This window comes from Homo sapiens, chromosome 5, assembly GCF_000001405.40.
Source record: "Homo sapiens chromosome 5, GRCh38.p14 Primary Assembly".
In the NCBI taxonomy this organism is placed as follows: Eukaryota; Metazoa; Chordata; class Mammalia; order Primates; family Hominidae; genus Homo; species Homo sapiens.
Window position 1 is genome coordinate 138,825,613 of NC_000005.10, and position 21,596 is coordinate 138,847,208.

At 38.2% G+C, this 21,596-nt stretch overlaps 1 protein-coding gene across 9 annotated transcripts in view, besides 1 other annotated feature; it reads left to right on the forward strand.

Annotated features, from left to right (window-relative positions):
* Window positions 1-21,596, forward strand: part of CTNNA1 (catenin alpha 1) — a 181,610-nt gene that overhangs the window by 72,188 nt on the left and 87,826 nt on the right. For all 9 annotated transcript variants that reach the window (NM_001323982.2, NM_001323984.2, NM_001290307.3 and 6 more), the window contains one exon: window positions 1,903-2,106. In NM_001323982.2, coding sequence (NP_001310911.1) covers window positions 1,903-2,106 — 204 coding nt within the window. The remainder of the gene's footprint in view (window positions 1-1,902; window positions 2,107-21,596) is intronic.
* Window positions 2,887-3,387: an enhancer, noted in NCBI's record as "H3K4me1 hESC enhancer chr5:138164188-138164688 (GRCh37/hg19 assembly coordinates)". NCBI's record gives its function as "activates a minimal SCP1, AML or CMV promoter by ChIP-STARR-seq in primed H9 embryonic stem cells {active_cell/tissue: H9 hESC(primed)}" and the evidence as "EXISTENCE:reporter gene assay evidence [ECO:0000049][PMID:30033119]".

Consider the following 21,596-nt stretch of genomic DNA (forward strand, 5'->3'; position numbering starts at 1 on the left):
ATAGAATAAAAAAAAATTACAATGGAGTGCATTTTGTTTTTAAGTTTTTCCTTGCCTTTACCTTTTCTTTCTTTTGCCACTTTACTTTCGCTTAGGTAGCTGATCCTTGTTGATATGCATGGCCGATTTAAGACTTTTTCATAAAGCAAGAAGGCAGTGTTAAGTCTAAAGACCATGGTGTTAGAACTCAGTTTTTACCATGGAGCTTTAAACATTAAATTATTTTATAACAAACTCTTATGGTGCATGTTAAAATTTACTAGCAATGTTGTTTTTCCCCCCTTCAAAATTTGGCAGTATTAGGTATCTTTCAGGGTAGTAGCACATTTTGCCCTAAGTTGAGTAATATCTACCAGAAGCTACTTAACTTCTCAGGGACACAGGTATTTGTAAAATGAGGGTTTGTGCTAAATGATCTCAGGCTCATTGAGGCTCTGTTACTCTATTAAAATTCTATGACCATTCATTTCTCATTTTTGTTGGCCAGAAAGCATTTTGTATTCAGTTTTGACCAGAGAAATCCTGTAATAACCTAACCTTACAAAAAATGATCAGCTAAAATGTGTAGGTTAATAATGAACTGAAGGTATTGCATGTTCAGTTTGAAAACTGAGGGTTCTTTGGAAGGGAAGGAAGAAATGTATACTTATTGGAAAAGGGCAAGGTTTTGGTAGAAAAAATTTGGCATTTAAGTTGAAATCAATAAGGACATAGTCTCTGTAAAGAAAAATTAAAGCCATAATATTTGCACAGACATTTATCAGGGTGAGGATAAATTATATCAAGTGGAGGAATTGGAGGGAGGCCAGTAGCTGCTGTCTTGAGGATGCCGATGTTTCACCTTGTACCTATAGCTTACTTGTGACCAGACCTCACTAAATGCTAGAAAAGCTGGATGTAAGTGGAGTCAGGAGGGAAGGGGAGACAGAAAAAGGATTTATTCTTATTGGAGCAGTTCTTCCTCACAGCTTAGGTTTTTGGGAGGATTGCTATCATCTCTTACAGAATACTAGAGGTCTTTGAGGAAAGGAAGTCTCTAATTTAGACATAACAGGATAAATTTGAGACTGAATTATTTAGAAAACTTGATTAGATGTGTAAGATGAGGCAAATAGATGGAAATTCATTGTAAATGCATTTCTTTCTGAAACTTTAAGGTTAGAGATCAGTTTGTATGTGTGCGCACACGTGTATATATTTTAAGAGACAAAGTCTTGCTCTGTTACCCAGGCTGGAGTGCAGTGGCACAATCATAGCTCACTGCAGCCTTGAACTTCTGGGTTCAAGTGATCCTCCCGAGTAGCTGGGACTATAGGCGTGTGCCACCATGCCCAACTTATTTTATTTTTTTGTAGAGACAGGGTCTTGCCTCGTTGCCTAGGCTGGTGTTCAACTGGCCTCAAACAATCCTCCTTCAATCTCTCAAAGTGTTGAGATTACAGGCATAAGCCACCACACCTGGCTTGTTTGGCTTTTATTTTTTAATTTTTTTGTGGTGCAACAGTTCTAAATATCACATGGCAGTTTTATATTCTGCAAGTAAGAGGTAACTTTTATTTTCCTTGTAATTCTCATCTGATGATTTGAATTGCTAGTCTTATACGGGTTTACCTTTAGATGTTCAGAATAAGTTGTGTGAGCATGATATGTTTGTATTTGTGGTATCATACCTTATCATGCCTTGTTTGGCTACATAGCATTACTTCCACTGCTTTCTTTGAGGAGTGATCAACAGTAGGCCATCTTCTGTGGGACAGCCCCTTACCTGCTAAGAAGTATAACTTTCTTTCAGATGTTGGAATTTTTGTGTTAAATCTTGATATTACTAATAACACTTTTCTCACCTTGAATAAAGAAGGGAACAGAGATGAGTACTAACATTCGGTAATACTTTCTCTGCAGAAACAAATCATTGTGGACCCCTTGAGCTTCAGCGAGGAGCGCTTTAGGCCTTCCCTGGAGGAGCGTCTGGAAAGCATCATTAGTGGGGCTGCCTTGATGGCCGACTCGTCCTGCACGCGTGATGACCGTCGTGAGCGAATTGTGGCAGAGTGTAATGCTGTCCGCCAGGCCCTGCAGGACCTGCTTTCGGAGTACATGGGCAATGTGAGTTTGACAGCTTTTCTTTGAAGTAAGATATTTATGGATGAGGAGTTTTCTATAACATGTTGGATCTGAGATGTTTTCACTATAAATACCAAATATGTCCTTGACTCCTTGATTTTTGGGAGTAGGTCAGATTTTTAAAGAAATGGATAAATGGCTAAGTGGCTCTTTCCTCTCTCCAGCTTATTGAGAAATTTTCAACTTATAAAAATCATACAGTGAATACCTAGGAAATTTATCTGTATTCATCAATTAACATGTAGATACATGTGTAGGTGTGTGTATATATAAATGTATATGTATGTATGGTATATACACAAACATCCTTTTTTCCCCCGAAGCCTTTGGAAGAAAGTTGTAGACATTGTGATGCTTCACCTCTAATATTTTAGCATGCCTCTCCAAAGAATAATGACCTTCTATACCACTAAAGTTTCATTATCCCAAGTAGGTGGCTAATTTTGGGCAAAAGGGAATGTTGAAAACCTGCCTCCTCAATATTTATAGTTGTGAAAGTTTTTTCGTGAACCATATTGAATGTCACAAGAGTAGATAATTGCCAAGTAGAGTTACATAAAGCAAACTCTGGATAGTGTTTTTGAATTTTGAAGGTTTGTGCATAAAAACCCAGGCTATGAAATTTGATACCCACTTTTTTTTTAAAAGGCCATAGAAAATTCTATATTTGTTGATTTTTCTCTGTTGCCATATGTCTTTCTTTTTTTCCTTCGCTTATACTTCTTCTATTCTGGTTATTTAATGCTAGCTTAGGGTTCCTGTCATTTAGACCTTGGACCCAATATTTTACTGTAGCTAATTAGCAATAAATTAAGTAAAAATTATATGAAATCATTTTAAGGGGAAGAAGGACAACAACACAAATTAGTTGTCATCACTAGCGTTTTTTACCTGTTTAACACCTAAAAAAAAGATCTTGGTTCTTTCTCATTTGTTCGTTTGCCATACATCTTGTCTGTTCACTTACAGGCCTGTAAAAGTTAATGGGTGATGGTAAATCATGGTGGAATTCCTAGGGTGAAGATGAATGCCTTCCTCTGTTTATCTTGTCTCTACCATACTGTGAAATTAGTGATGCATATTGAATTTTTTTAAAGCCATTGCCCCCTGGGCATGATGGTTCAAGCCTGTAGTCCCAGCGTTTTGGGAGGCTGAGGTGGGTGGATTGCGTGAGCCCAAGAGTTTGAGACCATCTTGGGCAACATGGTGAAATCCCATCTCTACAAAAAATACAAAAGTTAACTGGGCATGGTGGCGCACGCCTGGTCTCAGCTACTCGGGAGGCTGAGGCGGAAGAATCGCTTAAGCCTGGGAGGTTGTGGCTACAGTGAACCATGGTCGCGCCACTGTGCTCCAGCCTGGGCGACAGAGCGAGAGTGTCTCAAAAAAAAAAGCCATGTTTTGATTATAGGCAGTCTACTTAAGAAAAATGAGATTAGAGGTTTTGTTAAATCAAATGGAAAAAGTGGTTTTTAAGTCACAGTGAAAATGTGGGACACATTTAAAAATCCATAGCTAAGATTGAACATTAGAAAATATTTTAAAAGATGGATATGTTGCAGAATGGCTCACAATGTTGCAGTCTTAAACAGGGGAACAAAAACTCATGGTAAGTGGATCAGTCATCTGCTATCATGGGTAGTGCTGGAAATGGTGTAAAAGTGTCTTATGTAGTTATGATGAGGAAATCACTTCAAAAACAGACTTTGGTGGGAAGGAGGATGTGATAAATCTGTTCCGATTGCTCCGTTTTAGAGCCTCCTAATCAGTCTATAAGATATCCCTTGAGTCTTGAGGTTGGTCACATTCTTGGGCCAATCACCCCTGGTCATGAGTAACCTTGAGGTTTCGAAACCTAGAGTGCCATACAAACAGTACTGTCTATTCATGCCATCAGTGTAAGAAAAGGTGGGAAGCACTCATTTATACTGAAGACATGGAGACTGCAGTAGCATTCTTAAATGAAAACTGGAACAATGTGTGATGTGAGGCTGAAATTTGAGTATTATGGTAGGGATCTTGAAAGAAATCTTGGCCGGGCACGGTGGCTCACGCCTGTAATCCCAGCACTTTGGGAGGCCAAGGCAGACGGATCACAAGGTCAGGAGATTGAGACCATCCTGGCTAACATGGTGAAACCCAGTCTCTACTAAAAATACAGAAAAATTACCTGTAATCCCAGCACTTTGGGAGGCTGAGGCGGGCAGATCACAAGGTCAGGAGATAGAGACCATCCTGGCTAACGTGGCGAAACCCTGTCTCTACTAAAAATACAAAAAAATTAGCCGGACATGGAGGCGGGCGCCTGTAGTCCCAGCTGCTCTGGAGGCTGATGCAGGAGAATGGTGTGAACCCAGGAGGCGGAGCTTTCAGTGAGCCAAGATCACGCCACTGCACTCCAGCCTGGGGAACAGAGGGAGACTCCATCTCAAAAAAAAAAAAACCCAAAAAATAAACAAACAAAAAACAGAAAAATTAGCCAGGCGTGGTGTGGGGGCCCCTGTAGTCCCAGCTACTCGGGAGGCTGAGGCAGGAGAATGGTGTGAATCCAGCAGGCGGAGCTTGCAGTGAGCCAAGATCGCACCACTGCACTCCAGCCTGGGCGACAGAGCGAGATTCTGTCTCAAAAACAAAAAAGCACAAAAGAAAGAAATCTTCTTGAGATTTAGAAATGTATTTTAGGAGATGGTCTCTGGGTATGTTTCTCCTAAAGGTAAAAATCTTTAGTTTCCTTTTATTGATTCACGTAACAGTGAACAGGCTTGGTCCTGTCAAAAAGCACTGGAGTGAGGATAAACGGTGAGGGCAGTGGAGCACACTTGAAGAAAGCTTAGAATGATAAAAGGGTCTGGAAGAAGCAGAAGCAACTGGGGATAGATTTTTGCTTATTTATGAAGCATTCAAAAACATTTAGAACCTCTAGTGAGTGTCAGAATATAACCAGCAATGTCTGCCTGTCAGTCAGTTCATTCTGAGTATGTGACACATGCAAAGCAGTGTGTTGGGCACAATGTAAGAGGAGGAATGAGGCTCTGATCCCTCCCTTCTGGAACAGACAAAGTTTCTATAGGGGGTTTAATGGGAGTGTCATCATAGGTACAGCCAAAATGCTGTGGAAATTGCAAGGAGGTTGAGGTTATTTCTATCTGGGAAATCCAGGAGGCTTTCTCTTCTAGAAGATTTATTTTGTAATCTTTTGGTTAACTTCTATCTTGATTTTAAAAAAATGGTTCATTTTATTTCTGTTGAAAAATATTAGACAAATTATGTTATGTGGAGAATTGAAATCACCTACATTAATTAATACTTGTTTACTACGTGGAACTTTGTATAAACATTGTTGTAAAGTCCAGAAAGGCTCACATAATATTCACTTTTTCTGTTTCTTGGATTCTCTCATGTTGTTATTAATATTTTTATGGACACACATTCGTAAAGTGTCTTCTTTCTTCGTTTTGTGTTGCTTATTACCAGGTTCCACTGGCTTTTTCTCTGAGGCAGTGATTCTTAACTTTGGATGCACATTACAGTCCTTGGGCAACTTTGATGTTTCAGGTGTACCCCAGACCAATTAAGTCAGAATCTCTGCGTCAAGATCCAAGCGTCAGTTATTTTAAAACACTTCCCAGTTGATTCCAGTGTGCAACTAAGGTGGAAAAACTGCTCTGGTAGTTTATTCTGTTTGTCCCTTTCTGTCCCCACTGCCATTACCTTACTTCAGTGTCTCCTCACTTTCTCCATTTTCCACTTTGTTCTGCCTGCCCAGGCCAGGCTGAGCTCCTGTCTTTAGTACTAGGGCATTGTTCATTATGTTCTGGAAATTCCCTTCCTACCTATGTAAACCTAATCTACTCTTTCTTCAGGCCCCACATTTGTTTTTCATCTCTTTGCTGAAGGCCATTTCAAACTACATCATCTTACATTATTTCTTTGGTGCTTGAAGTTTTGTGCCTTATTGTATACTCCCTTGAATTGTTGTTTAATTGCATTTCTTTTATCCATTTTATTCTGCAACTAGGTTTTTAAGCCTTTGGAACATGACAACTCCTTAAAAATATTCATTCATGGTCTAGTATAATGCTGCAAGAGGTGCTCAGTAAATGCTTGCTTAATGAACTCATGCTGGTTTGTAGGAATGAATAAAATGAATAATTTTGGATTTTCATGGTGCTAAGGAGGTAATAGTGTGGTGGAAAAAACCAAAGACCTTTACCCTTATGGGCCTTACATTCTACAGTGGATGAAGGAGGAGGCTGTGTGGTTTATTTCTACTTCCTATTAGATCTTTCACTATACAGATGACATTTGTTGAAAAAATTAAACCAAATACTCTGGAATAAGCAATTAAGTGAAAGTGATATCTTAGAGCAGAGTTAAATTTAATTCATCAGCTGAGGGCCAAATCCCCTTTTAAAGTTTCCAAGGGTCAGGAGGCTAGCAGCCTTAATGTTATTGCTTGCATAGTGGTTTGATGAAGAGTTGGTAGGTAGTCTTGGCTCTACAACTAACTTACTATACGGACTCTAAGGAAATATTGACATAAAAGTAATGCATTTGACCTCTACTTACTTAACATTAGGGAAATATCACAGACCCATGACAGTGGAGGTTTTGCGACCCTTCAGTGTATCCTTGTAGTTTCAGAGATGACTTCCAGGTTTCCTTGAAATGAAATGTGGTTATTGTGGTTAAGTTTAATTTGTTTTGGCTCTGTCAGCCTAAAGTTGCTTTGCCTGTGAGAGAGAAAAACAGCTTTGGATGGATGTTATAATCTTAAAAGGTTTAAAAGTGAATGGATTGAAATTAAAATGAAATGTAATTAAATTTGAAAAAGTTATTACCATTTTTTTTCATGATTGAAATTCAGACATGTGCATTAAATTACTAAAATACCACTACTATTAGCATTTAGGGATATATATTTTCAGGTTTTTTTCTTTTCTTCTTCTATGCAGAGCATAAAATAACAGTTTTAATTCTCTCAGTGTTTTCTGCCTATAAACATGAAATATCCGTAGAACTAGGTTTCAGACTATTAAGTTAATGGGTTAAAACAGTCTGCTGTCTGGTTAATGGGTTAAAATTTCTGTTTTTCAAATACATAGCTGACTTGGTTGCCCAGTTGTGTGTTTTAATGTTCTCTGAGTTATTTCAGTGCTACTGAGAAAGACTTCTGAAGGGCTCTATGCTTTATACAGCTGACTTCTTTATTTCATGCCTTTCATTCTGCTGAGGGATATGCTGACTGTTAATATGTTCCTTTCTCCGTTTTTTAAGGCATGTGTTTTTCCAATAGTAGAATTTATTGGAACTAAACTTGTCTCTGTTACCATACCCCCCTTCAACCCTGACTCCTCAATGAACAAATAAGCAAAACCTACCCTTTCCCCAAAACCTCCAAATCTGAATATACTTAATACAATGTCTGAAACATAAAGGACCCTCAGTCTTTGAAATGAACTCCATTTGGTTTTGACCAGAGCAGTCTTGCCCAGCAGGTCATGGTCGTGTTTGACTGACTGGCGTTAGGGCTTATAATTGGTAAGAACAAACACATGCCATGGGCTTAAGTAGTTCTAGCTCTCTGCTATTCAGTGTGGTAGCCACTCACCATATGTGGCTATTGAGCACTTGAAATGTGACAAGTCTAAATTGAAGTTTGCTGTAAGTACATCAGATTTCAGAGTTAGTATAGAAAAAAGAATGTGAATTATCTCACTGATATTATTTTAGATATATTGGGTTAAATAAAATCTATTAAACTTTATTTTTACCTGTTTCTTTTCACTTATGGCTACGAGAAAAATCATATTTACATTGGTTATATATGTATCTATAACTTGTATATATGTTATAAAAATTATATGGGTGGTTTATTTCTGGCTTGCATTGTATCTCTGTTGGATAGTTCTAACCAATAAGTAACCAACCAGCTAAGGTGAGTAGATGAGAGGTTAGGATCAACTTTGTTCAATGTCCAGAATGGCATGGTAGTCCATGCATAGTAGCTATTATAACTTGTATTCTTTTAATACTTAAAACTGTAGTTTTAGATAGAAGAAAATTGGTTCAATTTAGGACCTTGTAAGGATAATGTTTCTTAAGGATACATTTTATCTTTGTTCTTGCCTGAAAACGTTGGACATAGTAGTTGTAGGATCCCAAAAGAAGAATGCAGTAACTGGACATACTTTGGTTGGACTGGATGTATATTTGAGGAATATGACTATGTTAATACATCAAGTATAAAATTTTAATTCGATTTGGGTAAATTTGATGTGGATTGTATGAATGGTATGCAGCTAATGTTCATTTTCAAAGATCTTTTGAAAAGATATATTGTTATTATAGTGAAGTGAAGCACTCAATTTAGATGTTAATCCTTTCTCAGTTTTGCAAATGCCTTCCTGGAATCTCTTTAGCATAGCCAGAGCTTTTGAAGGACTCTGAAGAGCTTGTTACTGCATTATGTTGTGGCTACACTTTTCTTTTCTTCAGAATTAGAGTAGCTTAATTTTTTCCTGATTATAAAAGTTCTGTGTTCATTATATATTGTCCATAATCCCACCACTCATTTTTGTGTATAACATTCCAGACTTAATTCGGATCTGTGTATATGTACACTTATATCTGTTCTTTTCTTACCTTTTCTTTTTAAAAATGTTGTTAGTAATGATTGTCCATACTTTTACACTGCTTACCATATGCCAGCCATTGTGCTGAGAGACATTTTATCCCCATAATAACCCTATTGAGTTGATAATTGCTCAAAAATACATATACACACAGGTGCAGTTTGAGCTCAGATCTGTCTGACCTGAAAGTCTGAACTCTTAATACTTTTACCATTGTACATCGTCCCAAGTTAACAAATATGATTTTATAACATCTTAATGGTGGCAGAGTTTTCCATTAAAATTAAATACCCCCAGAACTAAAATAAATACTGGAATCTAAATTTCAGTATTAAATTTCTAAAATTGGATATCCTAGACTAAGTAAAATAGATCCAGGTCTGGGATAGCTGCTTGAAGTGAGTGGAATGTCACTTGCCTCTGTGTGAAGAGACTGCCAAACAGGCTTTTTGAGAGCAGTAAAGCTTTTTAATCACCTGGGTGCGGGCGGGCTGAGTCCAAAAAGAGAGTCAGCGAAGGGTGGCGGGATTATCATTAGTTCTTATAGGTTTGGGATAGGCAGTGGAGTTAGGAGCAATTTTTTGTGGGCAGGGGGTGGATCTTATGAAGTACATTGTCAAGGGTGGGGAGAATATTGCAGAGTACCTTCTTAAGGGCAGGGGAGGATATTACAAAGTACTTTCTCAAGGGTGGGGAGGGTGTATTGTCACAAAGTCAATTTATCAGTTAGGGTGGGGCAGGAACAAATCGCAGTGGTGGAATGTCATCAGTTAAGGCAGGAACTGGCTATTTTCGCTTCTTTTGTGGATCTTCAGTTGCTTCAGGCCATCTGGATGTATACATGCAGGTGACAGGGGATATGATGGCTTAGCTTGGGCTCAGAGGCCTGACATGGAGCAAAAGAGCTTTTAGAGTATTTTCCATGCTAGACTGGTGGTACTTGAGTGCTGTAGCTGTTTAAATGGGCTCTGTGGTTTGCAGGTACAGAGGCTGAGTTTTGTTATACAGTTATGGTATGATTTCCATCTTTCTTTGAACTCTTGAGTTTTCTGCAAGAGATGCTTACCTAAATTAGTAGTCCATAGTTCTGTAGAGGCATTTGAAGATTATTTTATTGAATTGTTAGTGTAAGCTTTTCTGTGAGCTGCCTAATAAACAGGATTTGGGAGAGTTTATATAAGTAGATGATGCATTGAATGCAAAATTTGAGCCTGTGTAGGACTTGCTTTTTTGACAGCGGCATTTATTTTTATTTTTTATTTAATAAATTTTATTTTTACTGTATATGTTTAAGGTATACAAGGTGATATTTAGATATACATAGTTAAATGATTACTACAGTGAAGCCATTTAACATATCTGTTATCTTAGAGTTACCTTGTGTGGGTGGTAAGAGGGCCTAAAATCTACTCTCTTAGCAAGTTTTCCAAATACAATACAGTGCTATTGACTATAGGCTTCATGCTGTAGATTAGAGCTCTAGATTTTTTATTTACTTATTTTTTGCTCTGTCACCCAGGCTGGAGTGCACTGGTACGATCACAGCTCACTGCAACCTCTGCGTCCCTGATTCAAGTGATTTTCATGCTCCAGCCTCCCAAACATAATAGCTGGGTTTAGAGGCTTGTGTTACTAAGCCTAGCTAATTTTTGTATTTTTAGTAGAGATGGGGTTCCGTGCTATTGGCCAGGCTGGTCTCGAACACCTGGCCTCAAGTGATCCACCTGCCTTGGCTTCCCAAAGTGTTGGGATTACAGGTGTGAGCCACCATGGCTGGCCAAGAGTTCTAGATTTATTCATCCTGCATAACTGCAACTTTGTATTCCTTGACATAAGTGTCCCCTACTCCCACCATATGGTAACCCACCTTTCTACTCTCTTGTTTTTATTTATTAGAGAACATGTAAAAATCATGCAATAGTTTTCTCTGTGTCTATTTCACTTAGTATAATGCCCTCCAAGTTCATCCATGTTGTAGAGCAGCATTTATTTAATTTGAAAACACTTTGTCAAAAATTAATTTGTGATTTTCTTACGGTTCAAGATAAGGAGTTTAAAAGATCTTCATAACTCTGAGAAAGACATCTTACCCCAGTTATATTTGTGTTGCTTTCAAAGAGGTTTGAAGTACTTCCCATTTATGAGCTATCCTGGCATTGCGCATTGCAGTATTTAGCAGGCAAGTTCTTAATCTCTAATACCAGAAAGATGCATGTTTATGTATTTGTTGAAGTGATGCTGGCCTGATGGAGCAGTAGTGGTTTTGAAATCAGAATGATGGAGCAGGCATGTAAGCCTGCCCAGTGTTAGGCAGCAGGTGGATAGGAGTTTAGCCTCCTCAGGATTGCTGTTAGACTGTCCTTTATATCACTTTGTGCTGTTTAGCCATCAAGCAGGGTTGAAAAGACTTCATATCTAAAGTAGTATTTCTGAATTAACAGGTAATAACCTCTAAATATATCAGATTATTAGTAATTATCTCTAGCTGGTGGGGCGATGGGCACTATAAATTTTCTTTGATATTTTTTCCCACATTTAAAAAAAGTTTTTTATGTTGTTAATGTCACAAAGTTTAAAAAACTTAGACCGTTAGATTTGCGTGTCTTAGATTTTTAGGTTTTGTTTATAATCATACACCGTGTTCATTTCCAAAGCACTATTAATATGGAAATTTGATGGTTTTTCACACATTAATATGTTGATTCGTCCTTTCGAGGTAATGATTCATTCAGGACTAGTTTGGCTAAAGTGGTTAGTTTGGTTTTATAAAAAATTATAGTATACATTTCTATCAAGTCTTGAAGTGAGACTCAATTATCTCTCTGTGATAGCATTTGCTTCATTCTTTTCTTGCAGTGTATATCAAAGCGATTTTTGACCTTGGAAGTATAAAATTGTGAAGGTAGAATTTGGAAGTGACGTTCGTTATCATGTGGTCTAGGGGTTGACAAATTATAGTTCTCAGGTCAAGTCTAGCCTGCCACTTATTTTTATAAATAAAGTTTTATTGGAACACAGCCATACTCATTTAGTTGTTTCTTCCTTCTCCTCCTCCTCCTTCTTTTCTTCTTCTTTCCTCCTGTTCCTCCTCCTCCCCCTCCTCTTGATCCTCCCCCTCCTGCTCCTTCCCCCTCCCCCTCCTCCCTCCCCTCCCTCTCCTCCCCCCCCTTTCCCCACTCCTCCGTCTTCTCTTCTCTTCTCCTCTCTCCTCTCTCTTCTCTCTCTCCTCTCTCCTCTCTCCTCTTTTTGGTTTTGTTTGTTTGTTTTGAGACAGGGTCTTATTCTGCCACCCAGGCTGGGACTGCAGTGGTGCAATCACAGCTCACTGCAGCCTTGACTTCCCAGGCTCAGGTGATTCTGCCATCTCAGCTTCCCCAGTAGCTGGGACTAGAGGTGTGCACCAGCATGCCTGACTAATTTTTTGTATTTTTTGTAGATATGGGGTCTTGCCATTTTGCCAAGGGTGGTCTCAAACTCCTGGACTGAAAGCAGTCTGCCTGCCCCAGCCTCCCAAAGTGCTGGGATTACAGGTGTGAGCCACCATGCCTGGCCAAGTAGTTTCTAAAGAGACCGCATGGCCCCAGAGCCTAAAGTATTTGCTATTTGGTCCTTTATAGAAACTTGCCAATTTTTAATCTGTTTCAATCAGCTCCCCAGTAGCTGGGACTGCAGGTGTGCACTGCCATGTCTGGCTAAGTTTTGTATTTTTAGTAGAGATAGGGTTTCACCATGTTGGCCAGGCTGGTCTCAAAGTCCTGATGTCAAATGCTATACCCACCTCAGCCTCCCAAAGTTCTGGGATTACAGGCGTGAGCCATGGCACCCAGCCCAACCAATTAATTTTTCTGAAGGTTTTAAATTATAAATTCAGTTTCTTCAGTAGATATAAAACTAAGTTATGTATTGTTTCTTGGGTAAATTTTGGAAGATTGTGGCTTTCAATGAATTAGTTCATTTTATCCACTTAGTTGATTTTGTACGCATGGAGATGTTTGTTGTAATCTCTTACTATCCTTCTACTGTTTAGCATCTGTAGCAGTATTCTCTGTTTCATAACTATTCTTGATAATTTGTTTTATTTTTTCTTTCTTTGTCAATCTGGCCAGAAGTTTATCAATTCTAGTGATCTTTTGAAAAATCCAGCTTTGGGTTTCATTAATTTTTTTTTCCTCTAATACTTCCAATTTCATCTGTTTCTGCTTTTTATTTATTTATTTTTCTGTCTGCTTATTTTGGGTTTATTTTATTCTATCTTTACTAGTTTCCTGAGGTGAGAACTTAGGTTATTGACTTGAGACCTTTCTTCTTTGTGTAAAGATATAGTGGTATAGATTTCCCTAATCTAAGCCCTGCTTTGTCTGCATCCGATAAATTCTGATACGTTGTATTTTCATTTTAAAATTATTTTTATTTTTTTGTTGTTGTTTGTTTGTTTGTTTTTAAGAGATCGGGTCTCATCGTGTTACCCAGGCTGGTCTTGAACTCTTGAGTTCAAATGATCCTCCCACCTCGGCCTCCCAAAGTGCTGGGATTACAGGCGTGAGCTACCGTGCCCGGCCTATATTTTCATTTTTGTTCAGTTCAAGATATTTTAAAATTTTCCTCGAGTCTTCTTCTTTGATCACTGGCTTATTTAGAAGTATGTTGTGTAATTTCCAAGTATTTGGAGATTTTCTTGCTATGTTTCTGTTACTGATTTCTAGTTTAATTCTAATTCCATATGGTCAGAGAACATAAACTTTGCATGATTTCAATTTTTTTTAAATTTGTTAATTGAGCCTTGTTTTATGACCCAGTGCTACCTTTGTAATGTTCTGTTTGCACTTGACAAATAATATGTATTCTGCTTTTTATTTTTTTTTTCTTTTTTGAGACGAAGTCTTGCTCTGTTGCTCAGGCTGGAAGTATAGAGGCATGATCTCGGCTCAAGTGATTTCTCCTGCCTCAGCCTCCCGAGTAGCTGGGATTACAGGCACCCGCCATCACGCCTGGCTAATTTCTGTATTTTTAGTAGAGGTGGGGTTTTCCCATGTTGGCCAGGCTGGTCTCTAACTCCTGACCTCAGGTGATCCACCCGCCTTGGCCTCCCAAAGTGCTGGGATTACAGGCATGAGCCACCGTGCCTGGCCTGTATTCTGTTATTGTTGGGTGGAGTGAAAGTGTCACTTAGATCTAGTTGGTTGATGGCATTGTTCTATAGCTTGCTGTTTTTTTAGTTGGGGGAAAGATCTAATTATTCTAAGAATTACTGAGATAAGAGTGTTGCAGTCTCCAACTTTAATTGTAGATTCGACCATTCTTTATTTCAATTCTTGGATTGCCACTCCATGTGTTCTGCTCAGGATCTTTAGTTACATTCAGTGGGACAGACAGGGTGGAGTATATTTATTACATTTAGCCAGAACCAAAACTCAACCAGTGTTTTCAAAACTGAGTCTGAAACTAGTGAAGTGTTAGGCCATGGTTACACCCATGTTTGAACAGTTAGGACTAGAACTAAGGCTTCTGATTTTTTAGTCCAGAGATACTCCTGGTGGTGCTCTTCACATGTGATGCCATGGATGATGAGCAGTAAGCTGATACTTCCATAGAATAGAACTTGTTAAAGCTTGATCAAGTAATGTAATCTCCCCAGGGCAGCTTTCTTGGCTGGAATTGGGGTCATTAATAGCTGCCCCTCTAACTGACCTTGTTAAAATGCACAGAGAATCTCTCAAGTAAGACCAAGTAAAACCGTGAAGATGGGGATATAATGGGTGGTGTTATTAAAAAATATCAAGATGCCTTGGAACAAAAGAACAGAAAATAAAGTGTAGCAAAGAATAGGGTGAACAGGGATCTGGATAGGTGGGGACCAAGGGACATGCCTTCTGTGACAGGTGCTTTATAGCTTTCTGTGTCTGCTCCATTGCTTGCTCTCTGCCTCTAGCAAAGAGCCAAAGTGGCAGTCTCCATTTCCAGTCTGCATGATTTTGTAGTTCAGGCATCTAATCATAGCTGACAGGTCTCTCCCTCTCCTCTCGTGTGTTTGTGTGTGCAATGCCATGTTTGGTGTGAACGTAAAACTATAAAATGTATGTGCAAATGTGCAAATTGGTGTTTTTAGGGAAAAATATAATATAGTTTCTCCTTCAGTTATTCTTTTTGGCCCAAGGAGTAGGCTTTACTTTTTGGCAAAGTTGTCATGTGTTGATAATAAAAAATCGATTTATTAAAAATATTGTGATTGTTTAAATGTAGCCAATTAATAGTTGTGGGAGGCCACCTATTTAGTTTAGAATGCCCATATGTGACAAACATGTAAAACTAAAAGCTTATCAATCATAACTTTCTACCCTAATAGTTTTTATCCATTCATTTTACATTTTTTTAAAATTAGGTGTCTTAGAGGATTTAAGGTAGTAAATAAAAACTCATTGTGACTAGGGCAGTTAAGGATTAAACAAATTGGGTTTGTGTGTTCGGTTTGTCTGCCCTCAAACTAGCCATAATGTTTATTTATTTATTTTTTGTCTTTAACCCTCTCCTCCCCTCATTAAATATAGTTACATAAAAGGATGCCATTCTGCTTTTCATGATGGGTAGTTCAGGTTCTGTCATGAGCATTGAGTTTCCAAACTGTCCTTGTCGGAGACAGGAGATTTCCTCCTTTCTGACTTCAGACCTGCTGTGTTGAAAGTTGCCTCTTTGGTTGATATATTTCTCAGTCATAATGCCAACTTAGAAGGGCACAAGTCTGTGGAATATGTTTTTATTCTTAGATGGGATTATTTTATTCATTTTCAGTTGAATCTTTGTTCATATCTGATGACTGCTAATGAAGTCCTTGCCAGCAACTCAATGGCTTGCTTATTTTATTTTATTATGTTGTATGTATATATGTATGTATGTATTTATTTATTTTTTGAGATGGAGTTTCCCTCTGTCACCTGGGCTGGAGTGCAATGGTGTGATCTCGGCTGACTGCAACTTCTGCCTCCTGGATTCAAGTGATTCTCCTGCCTCAGCCTCCTGAGTAGCTGGGATTACAGGCGCCCGCTACCACGCCCGGCTAATTTTTGTATTTTTAGTAGAGATGGGGTTTCACCATGTTGACCAGGCTGGTCTTGAACTCCTGACCTCAGGTGATCAACCTGCCTTGGCCTCCCAAAATGCTGGTATTACAGACATGAGCCACTGCACCAGGCCTGTTTTGAAGAGGAATATTGGATATATAGAACCAAAGACTGTTGGGCACCAATTCCATTTGGTCATTCTCTCAAAACTGCCATTAGGGCTTTTTGTAATGTCATAATTTGGAAACATAAGGAAGATATTTCCTTTGAGTTACTTTATGCTGAAATAACATCTGGTCAGTAAATATCCTACAAGTATTACTTTCAGATGTTTTGAAATGATTGGCCTCCTGCTCTGGTTTTAACCCCAGTTGAAGACACTTTAATGTTTGCAGTTTATAATAATCTACCAAGTTGAATACAGTGTGACATCGTATTTCAAGGCTTCCTTAAGGGCTAACCGTCCTTTAAATTTAACACTGGAACATATTAGCCTGAATTACTTCTCCTTGCTTTGAGAGAGAATTACTGGTTTTATAGATTCAAACATGAAAGTCATCTTCTAGGAGTGAAAAGATTAATGTTTTGGCTTGCCCTTGCTCTTGTGTCTGTAAGAATATTGCTTACTATTTCCTGGTATAAAATGACCTGAGATATTTTATTAGAAAAATTATACCGGCCGGGGCAACATGGCAAAACTCTATCTCTATAAAAATATTAAGAATTAGCCGAGCATGGTGGCACACACCTGTAGTTCCAGCTACTCGGGAGGCTGAGGTAAGAGGAGAGCCTGAGCCCGGGAAGTTGAGGCTGCAGTGAGCCATGATGGCACCACTGCACTCCAGCCTGGGAAACAGAATGAGACTTCATTTTTCACACAAAGACCAGTAATACTGAACTGTAATCTTTTAAGCTCATACTAATAAACACACTTGTTGCCAGGAGCAGAGCATATTGTTTATGTTACTTTGAAGATTCTGTATTTTTGCTGAAAAATAGCCGAAGCCACTGTATATAGGAAAATTGTTTGTTTTCTAAAATTGGCCATTAATATATACTATTTAGTGATTTCTGTTGTGATAAAGGATCCTCTCACCTCCCTCACCTTTTCAAAACTGGTTTTTCTTATGCCGTTAAAGTTTTTCAGTTAAGGAAACAGACTCAAGGCTCTAACCCATTTATGCCAGAGGTTGCAAATTTTTTGTTGTGGAAAATCAGACCTTGATGATGACCTTGAGCAGTAGGATATAAATAGCTCCCAGAAGCTTAGCGTTGCAGTAATGGAACACCAGGCCTAAATGGGTTAAGAAATTTGTTTGAGTTTTCTTTTTCAAAGCAATATTAAATGTTGTAGCGTTCAGATAAAAATCCAATTTTAAAATTAAAATTTCTAATCATGGCAGTTAAAAAACACCTGACACCATTGGCCACCTCTTACTTGCTTTCTACAGGGCTTTCATATTGGCCAACTGTAGAGGTTAAAAATCAAACTACTCTTTTCAACTAGGTTTTTCTATCCAATGCTCCATTAACCATTTTCTTAAAACCACTCTGAACCTGGAATTACACTAATTTGGGGGTTATGTTAATAAACAGCAATAATTGTATATTTTGGATTTAAGGTATTGATCAAGTGTGAATTATCCTTAACCCTCAAGATTTGAACAGATATGAAAGTTGGTTTAGGAGGAATGGTTACATACAAGATAATTCCTTACAGAGTGAGATGTATGATTTGTTTAAAAACATTCCAGCAGAAAAACCAATGGAAAGGTGATAAATGAAACAAGAAAGCAGAAAGTTGATGATTTTTAAAGTTTGGTAATGGTTAAGTGAGGGAGTTCATTTAGTATTCTCAATCCTTTTGGTGGTTATGTTAGAAAAAACTCATAATAATTTTTTTTTTTAAAGGACATGTCATCACCATGATGGTTAGTTGAGTAGGTGTTAGCATGTTAGATGTCTGAGAGCACAGTCCTTGCCATATGTACACCCTTCGGAGGGCATTTGCATGCTTTGCAACCCCTGGAAGGCCTTGTTTTATCCCACTCAGTCCTCTTCTCACTCTCCATTTTATAGGCTGGCTGGTGCCTATGCTGATTCTTAAGCCAATTAGATTCTCTTGGGGATTTGTATGGGTAAATAATGGGAAAATGATGCAATTAGTAATGGAAACTGAAAAAGGAAATGATGCCATTATGTAGAGCCAGGGTCATAGGGGTCTTGACAAAGTGAACTTATGGCTGAGTAGCAGCTATGAATTAGATAGGCAGCAAAGAGGGTGAGAATGGGTCAGGCATTTGAGATTGGAGAATGGGATAGCCAGCTAAGAGGAGTGTCCTGGGCTTCCTGTATGGCCGCTTCTAGGGGCAGTGGCCCAGCTGTACTTGGGTTCTTCTGTATATGTGTCCTTGAAGTAAAACCCTTTGTCACTGTATTCAATTTGGGTTTCTGGATTCCCCCAAAAGGAGTCTACTGTAGTTACTGAACAGTGCAGAATTTTCTTGGCTAAATTAAAAGTAAGCACTTTTTTTAGAAGGTCAAAAGTGATCATTGCCTATTCATCTAGGCATTCCATTGTGCAATTCTTAAGGCTTTTTTTGGAGACTTGGCCCTTCCCCAAGTAATTTAATTTTTCTTTTTAAACCAAAGTGGAAGCAAGTTTGTGGAAAGCAAAGGAATAAAGAATGGCCACTCCATAGGCAGAGCATTTTAAAAATTTAAAAATTTTTAAAATTTTAAAAATAAAAGTAGAGATGGGGTTTTGCTGTGTTGCTCAGGCTGGTCTCACATTCCTGGACTCAAGCGATCCACCTGCCTCGGCATGCCCAAGTGCTGGGATTATAGACACAAGCCACCGCACCTGGCCCCAGAGTCATATTTTTAAAGTTCTGTCTTGTATAGTACGAAACCTTTTGTCTCTTAGCTGCTTGACTTTTATATAATTTAGTAGTGATGTTTACATTGTTCACTAGACTTTGATTGAATTGAATTTAATAAATGGCAGTAATCAGGTGTTTTTTGGTGGAGGGGTTAGCTTGCTGTCTTCAGGTTTCCTATGCTTGAGAATTTGCCTCAACACAATTTTAGGTGGCTGTAACACTATTTTGTTGGCCAGTATAATTTTAGATTCCTCACTTTGGTTGTTGGTTGTTAAAAGACATAGGGAGCTTTGTTTGACTCTAAATCTACCATTGTCTGTCTCTTTCCTTTTCTTTGGTGTTCTTTTTTAGGGGACGAAAGTAAGAATTGAGAAGATCTGGCTTAGATAATGCTAGTAATGGAGATTTTAAAAAATTACCTATTATTTTATTATTATAAAGCACTAGAGCAAGTATAGAATTATGTATAGTAAGTAGGATATACAAAGAAAGAAAAGATTGGCATTCATTGGCTCTGGGGAGTGGGCTAAGGTTAAAACAAAGATTTAGAGTCAAAAATTAATTAGTGTGCAGGAGACAGCAAACCTCTTGGCTTGGTGGGAATGAAAAACTATTTAATAAGCATAACTGGCTAGAAGCAGTCTTCTTTCCCCATTAGTAGGTGGCTCACTGACATTGTCCTAGGTGTTTGAAATGTTTGTTTTTCTCCCTTTAATTTGCTCCTGTGTATAAAGTTACTGCCGAAGGAGCCAGGACTGAATCAGACTTGAGCAATACGGGGCTTGTGGAAAGAGATGTTTTGATCATATTGTTATTTTTGTGTCATAAAATCTTAGATTGGCAACTTTCTTCTAGGGTGGATTTAGCCTTTGATACATTTTCTTAGGCCCACGAAAATGAGCTGCTAAAGTAGAAATGAATAAAACTATTCGGTTTAGCCTCTAGACAGTGACACATTAAGGACTAATGACTGCCAAAAGGAAATGTCAAACACTAAGCTAGTCTACTTTCTTTGGCAGCTGAGAATCCGGTGAATCAACAGTTTTAGGGGGTGTATATTTAATGTGGGTGGAGGAAGAAAGTGTCTAACATTCTTTAAGGCCCTGTTCAGCAAAGTTGGAATTGGAGCCTGATTCTACCTTTCTAAACACAAGAAAGTCACATGCTATAGAATGAGGGTGGTTACTGTTTGTCACGTAGATAGTATCGACTAAGACATTTTAAAATGTGTTTACAGGCTTTGTCTTTATTTTCATTTAATTGTTGGTAGGTGCGAAGCAGCATGCATTTGTGTGTGAGAGGGACATACTTCAGAGTTTTGATTGCCTTGGTCCCCCTTTTCATAAACAGGAATTATCTGAAGAGTCTTGTGGAAGAGAATGGATAAAACTGTGATCCTTGAGGCATAAGGAGCAAATTTAGACTGAATTTCTACTAAATTACTGTTAAGAAAAGGACAACAAATTTAGAGCTTTTAAGCTTATAACCGAGTATGATTGCCATGTCCTGGGTACTTGATTGCCATGTCCTGGGTACTTAACAGTTTAGCACTTAAATATTCACATATAGATATAGGGTCAGGGAATGATAGCTAAAGGGTACAGGTTTTTTTTGTTTTTTTGTTTTTTGTTTTTTTGAGACAGATTCTCGCTGTCTGGCCCAGGCTGGAGTGAAGTGGCGCGATCACGGCTCACTGCAACCTCCGCCCCCTAGGTTCAAGCGATTCTCCTGCCTCAGCCTCCCAAGTAGCTGGGATTACAAGCGCCCACCACCACGCCCGGCTAATTTTCATACTTTTAGAGACAGGGTCTAATTTTCATACTTTTAGAGACAGGGTTTCACCATCTTGGCCAGGCTGGTCTTGAACTCCTGGCCTCAGGTGATCCACCCTCCTCGGCCTCTCAAAGTGCTGGGATTACAGGCGCGAGCCACTGCGCCTGGCCCAAGGGTACTGGGTTTCTTTAGGAGATGATAAAATGCTCTAAAATTGACTGTAGTAATGGTTGTACATATCTGTGAATAAACCAAAAAAACATTAAATTGTACACTATCAATGGGTGAATTTTAGGTGACCTATATCAGTATATAATCTGTATCAGTAGATAATTATCTTATATATTTGTAAAATTATTTAAAGATATTTACATGCGTTTCACATGTCAGTTTGCTAATGATGTGATATGTATTTTAAATTATATTTCCTGTAGGAGTTCAGGCAATTTGTTCATCTTACATGAAGTAAAGAGTATTTTTCCCATTTTGAAACACGGCCTGTGTCTGTTATTGCCACCAGAATTACATGGTCTACATTAAATCCTATATTGTGTACACTGTTGACCTCTTTAATCTTCTGACTTTGTATGGGACAAACTAATGGCCTACAATTTTCTGTGACTATTTCATTTAAATTATACAAATGTTGAATGAAGGATTGCTGAATTAAAAATAGTTAAAAAAAAACCCCTCAAATTATACTGAACAGGTGTCATTTCAAGCTGAGTGTTTTTCATTTGGGGGCAGGGTGTCTTCTCTCTGAAAAAGTGTTAGATCTCTACATTATGTACATTGTTAGCCCTTAAAGATTTTTGAATGGTTTGGATTATTAGAAGATTCTGCATATAATCACCTAGAATTTGATTATACAGCTCTGAGAACTATGAAAAGGAACTAATTTTTCTATTAATTACATGTTTGGATTATTATTTGCAGTCAGAGCTTTGGGGTTGGGTATTTTGGTTGAAATATTGGCACTCTTAAATACATGGTAGTATCTGAAAGCTTTGTTCTAGGCCCACTTGAAGGAATTGCAAAAAAAGATGTAGCAGAAGTTTTAAGTGAAGTGGTTTGTTTTAGCAACATTAACTTATTTACTTAAAAATAGGTTTTTACTTTTTTGCTTC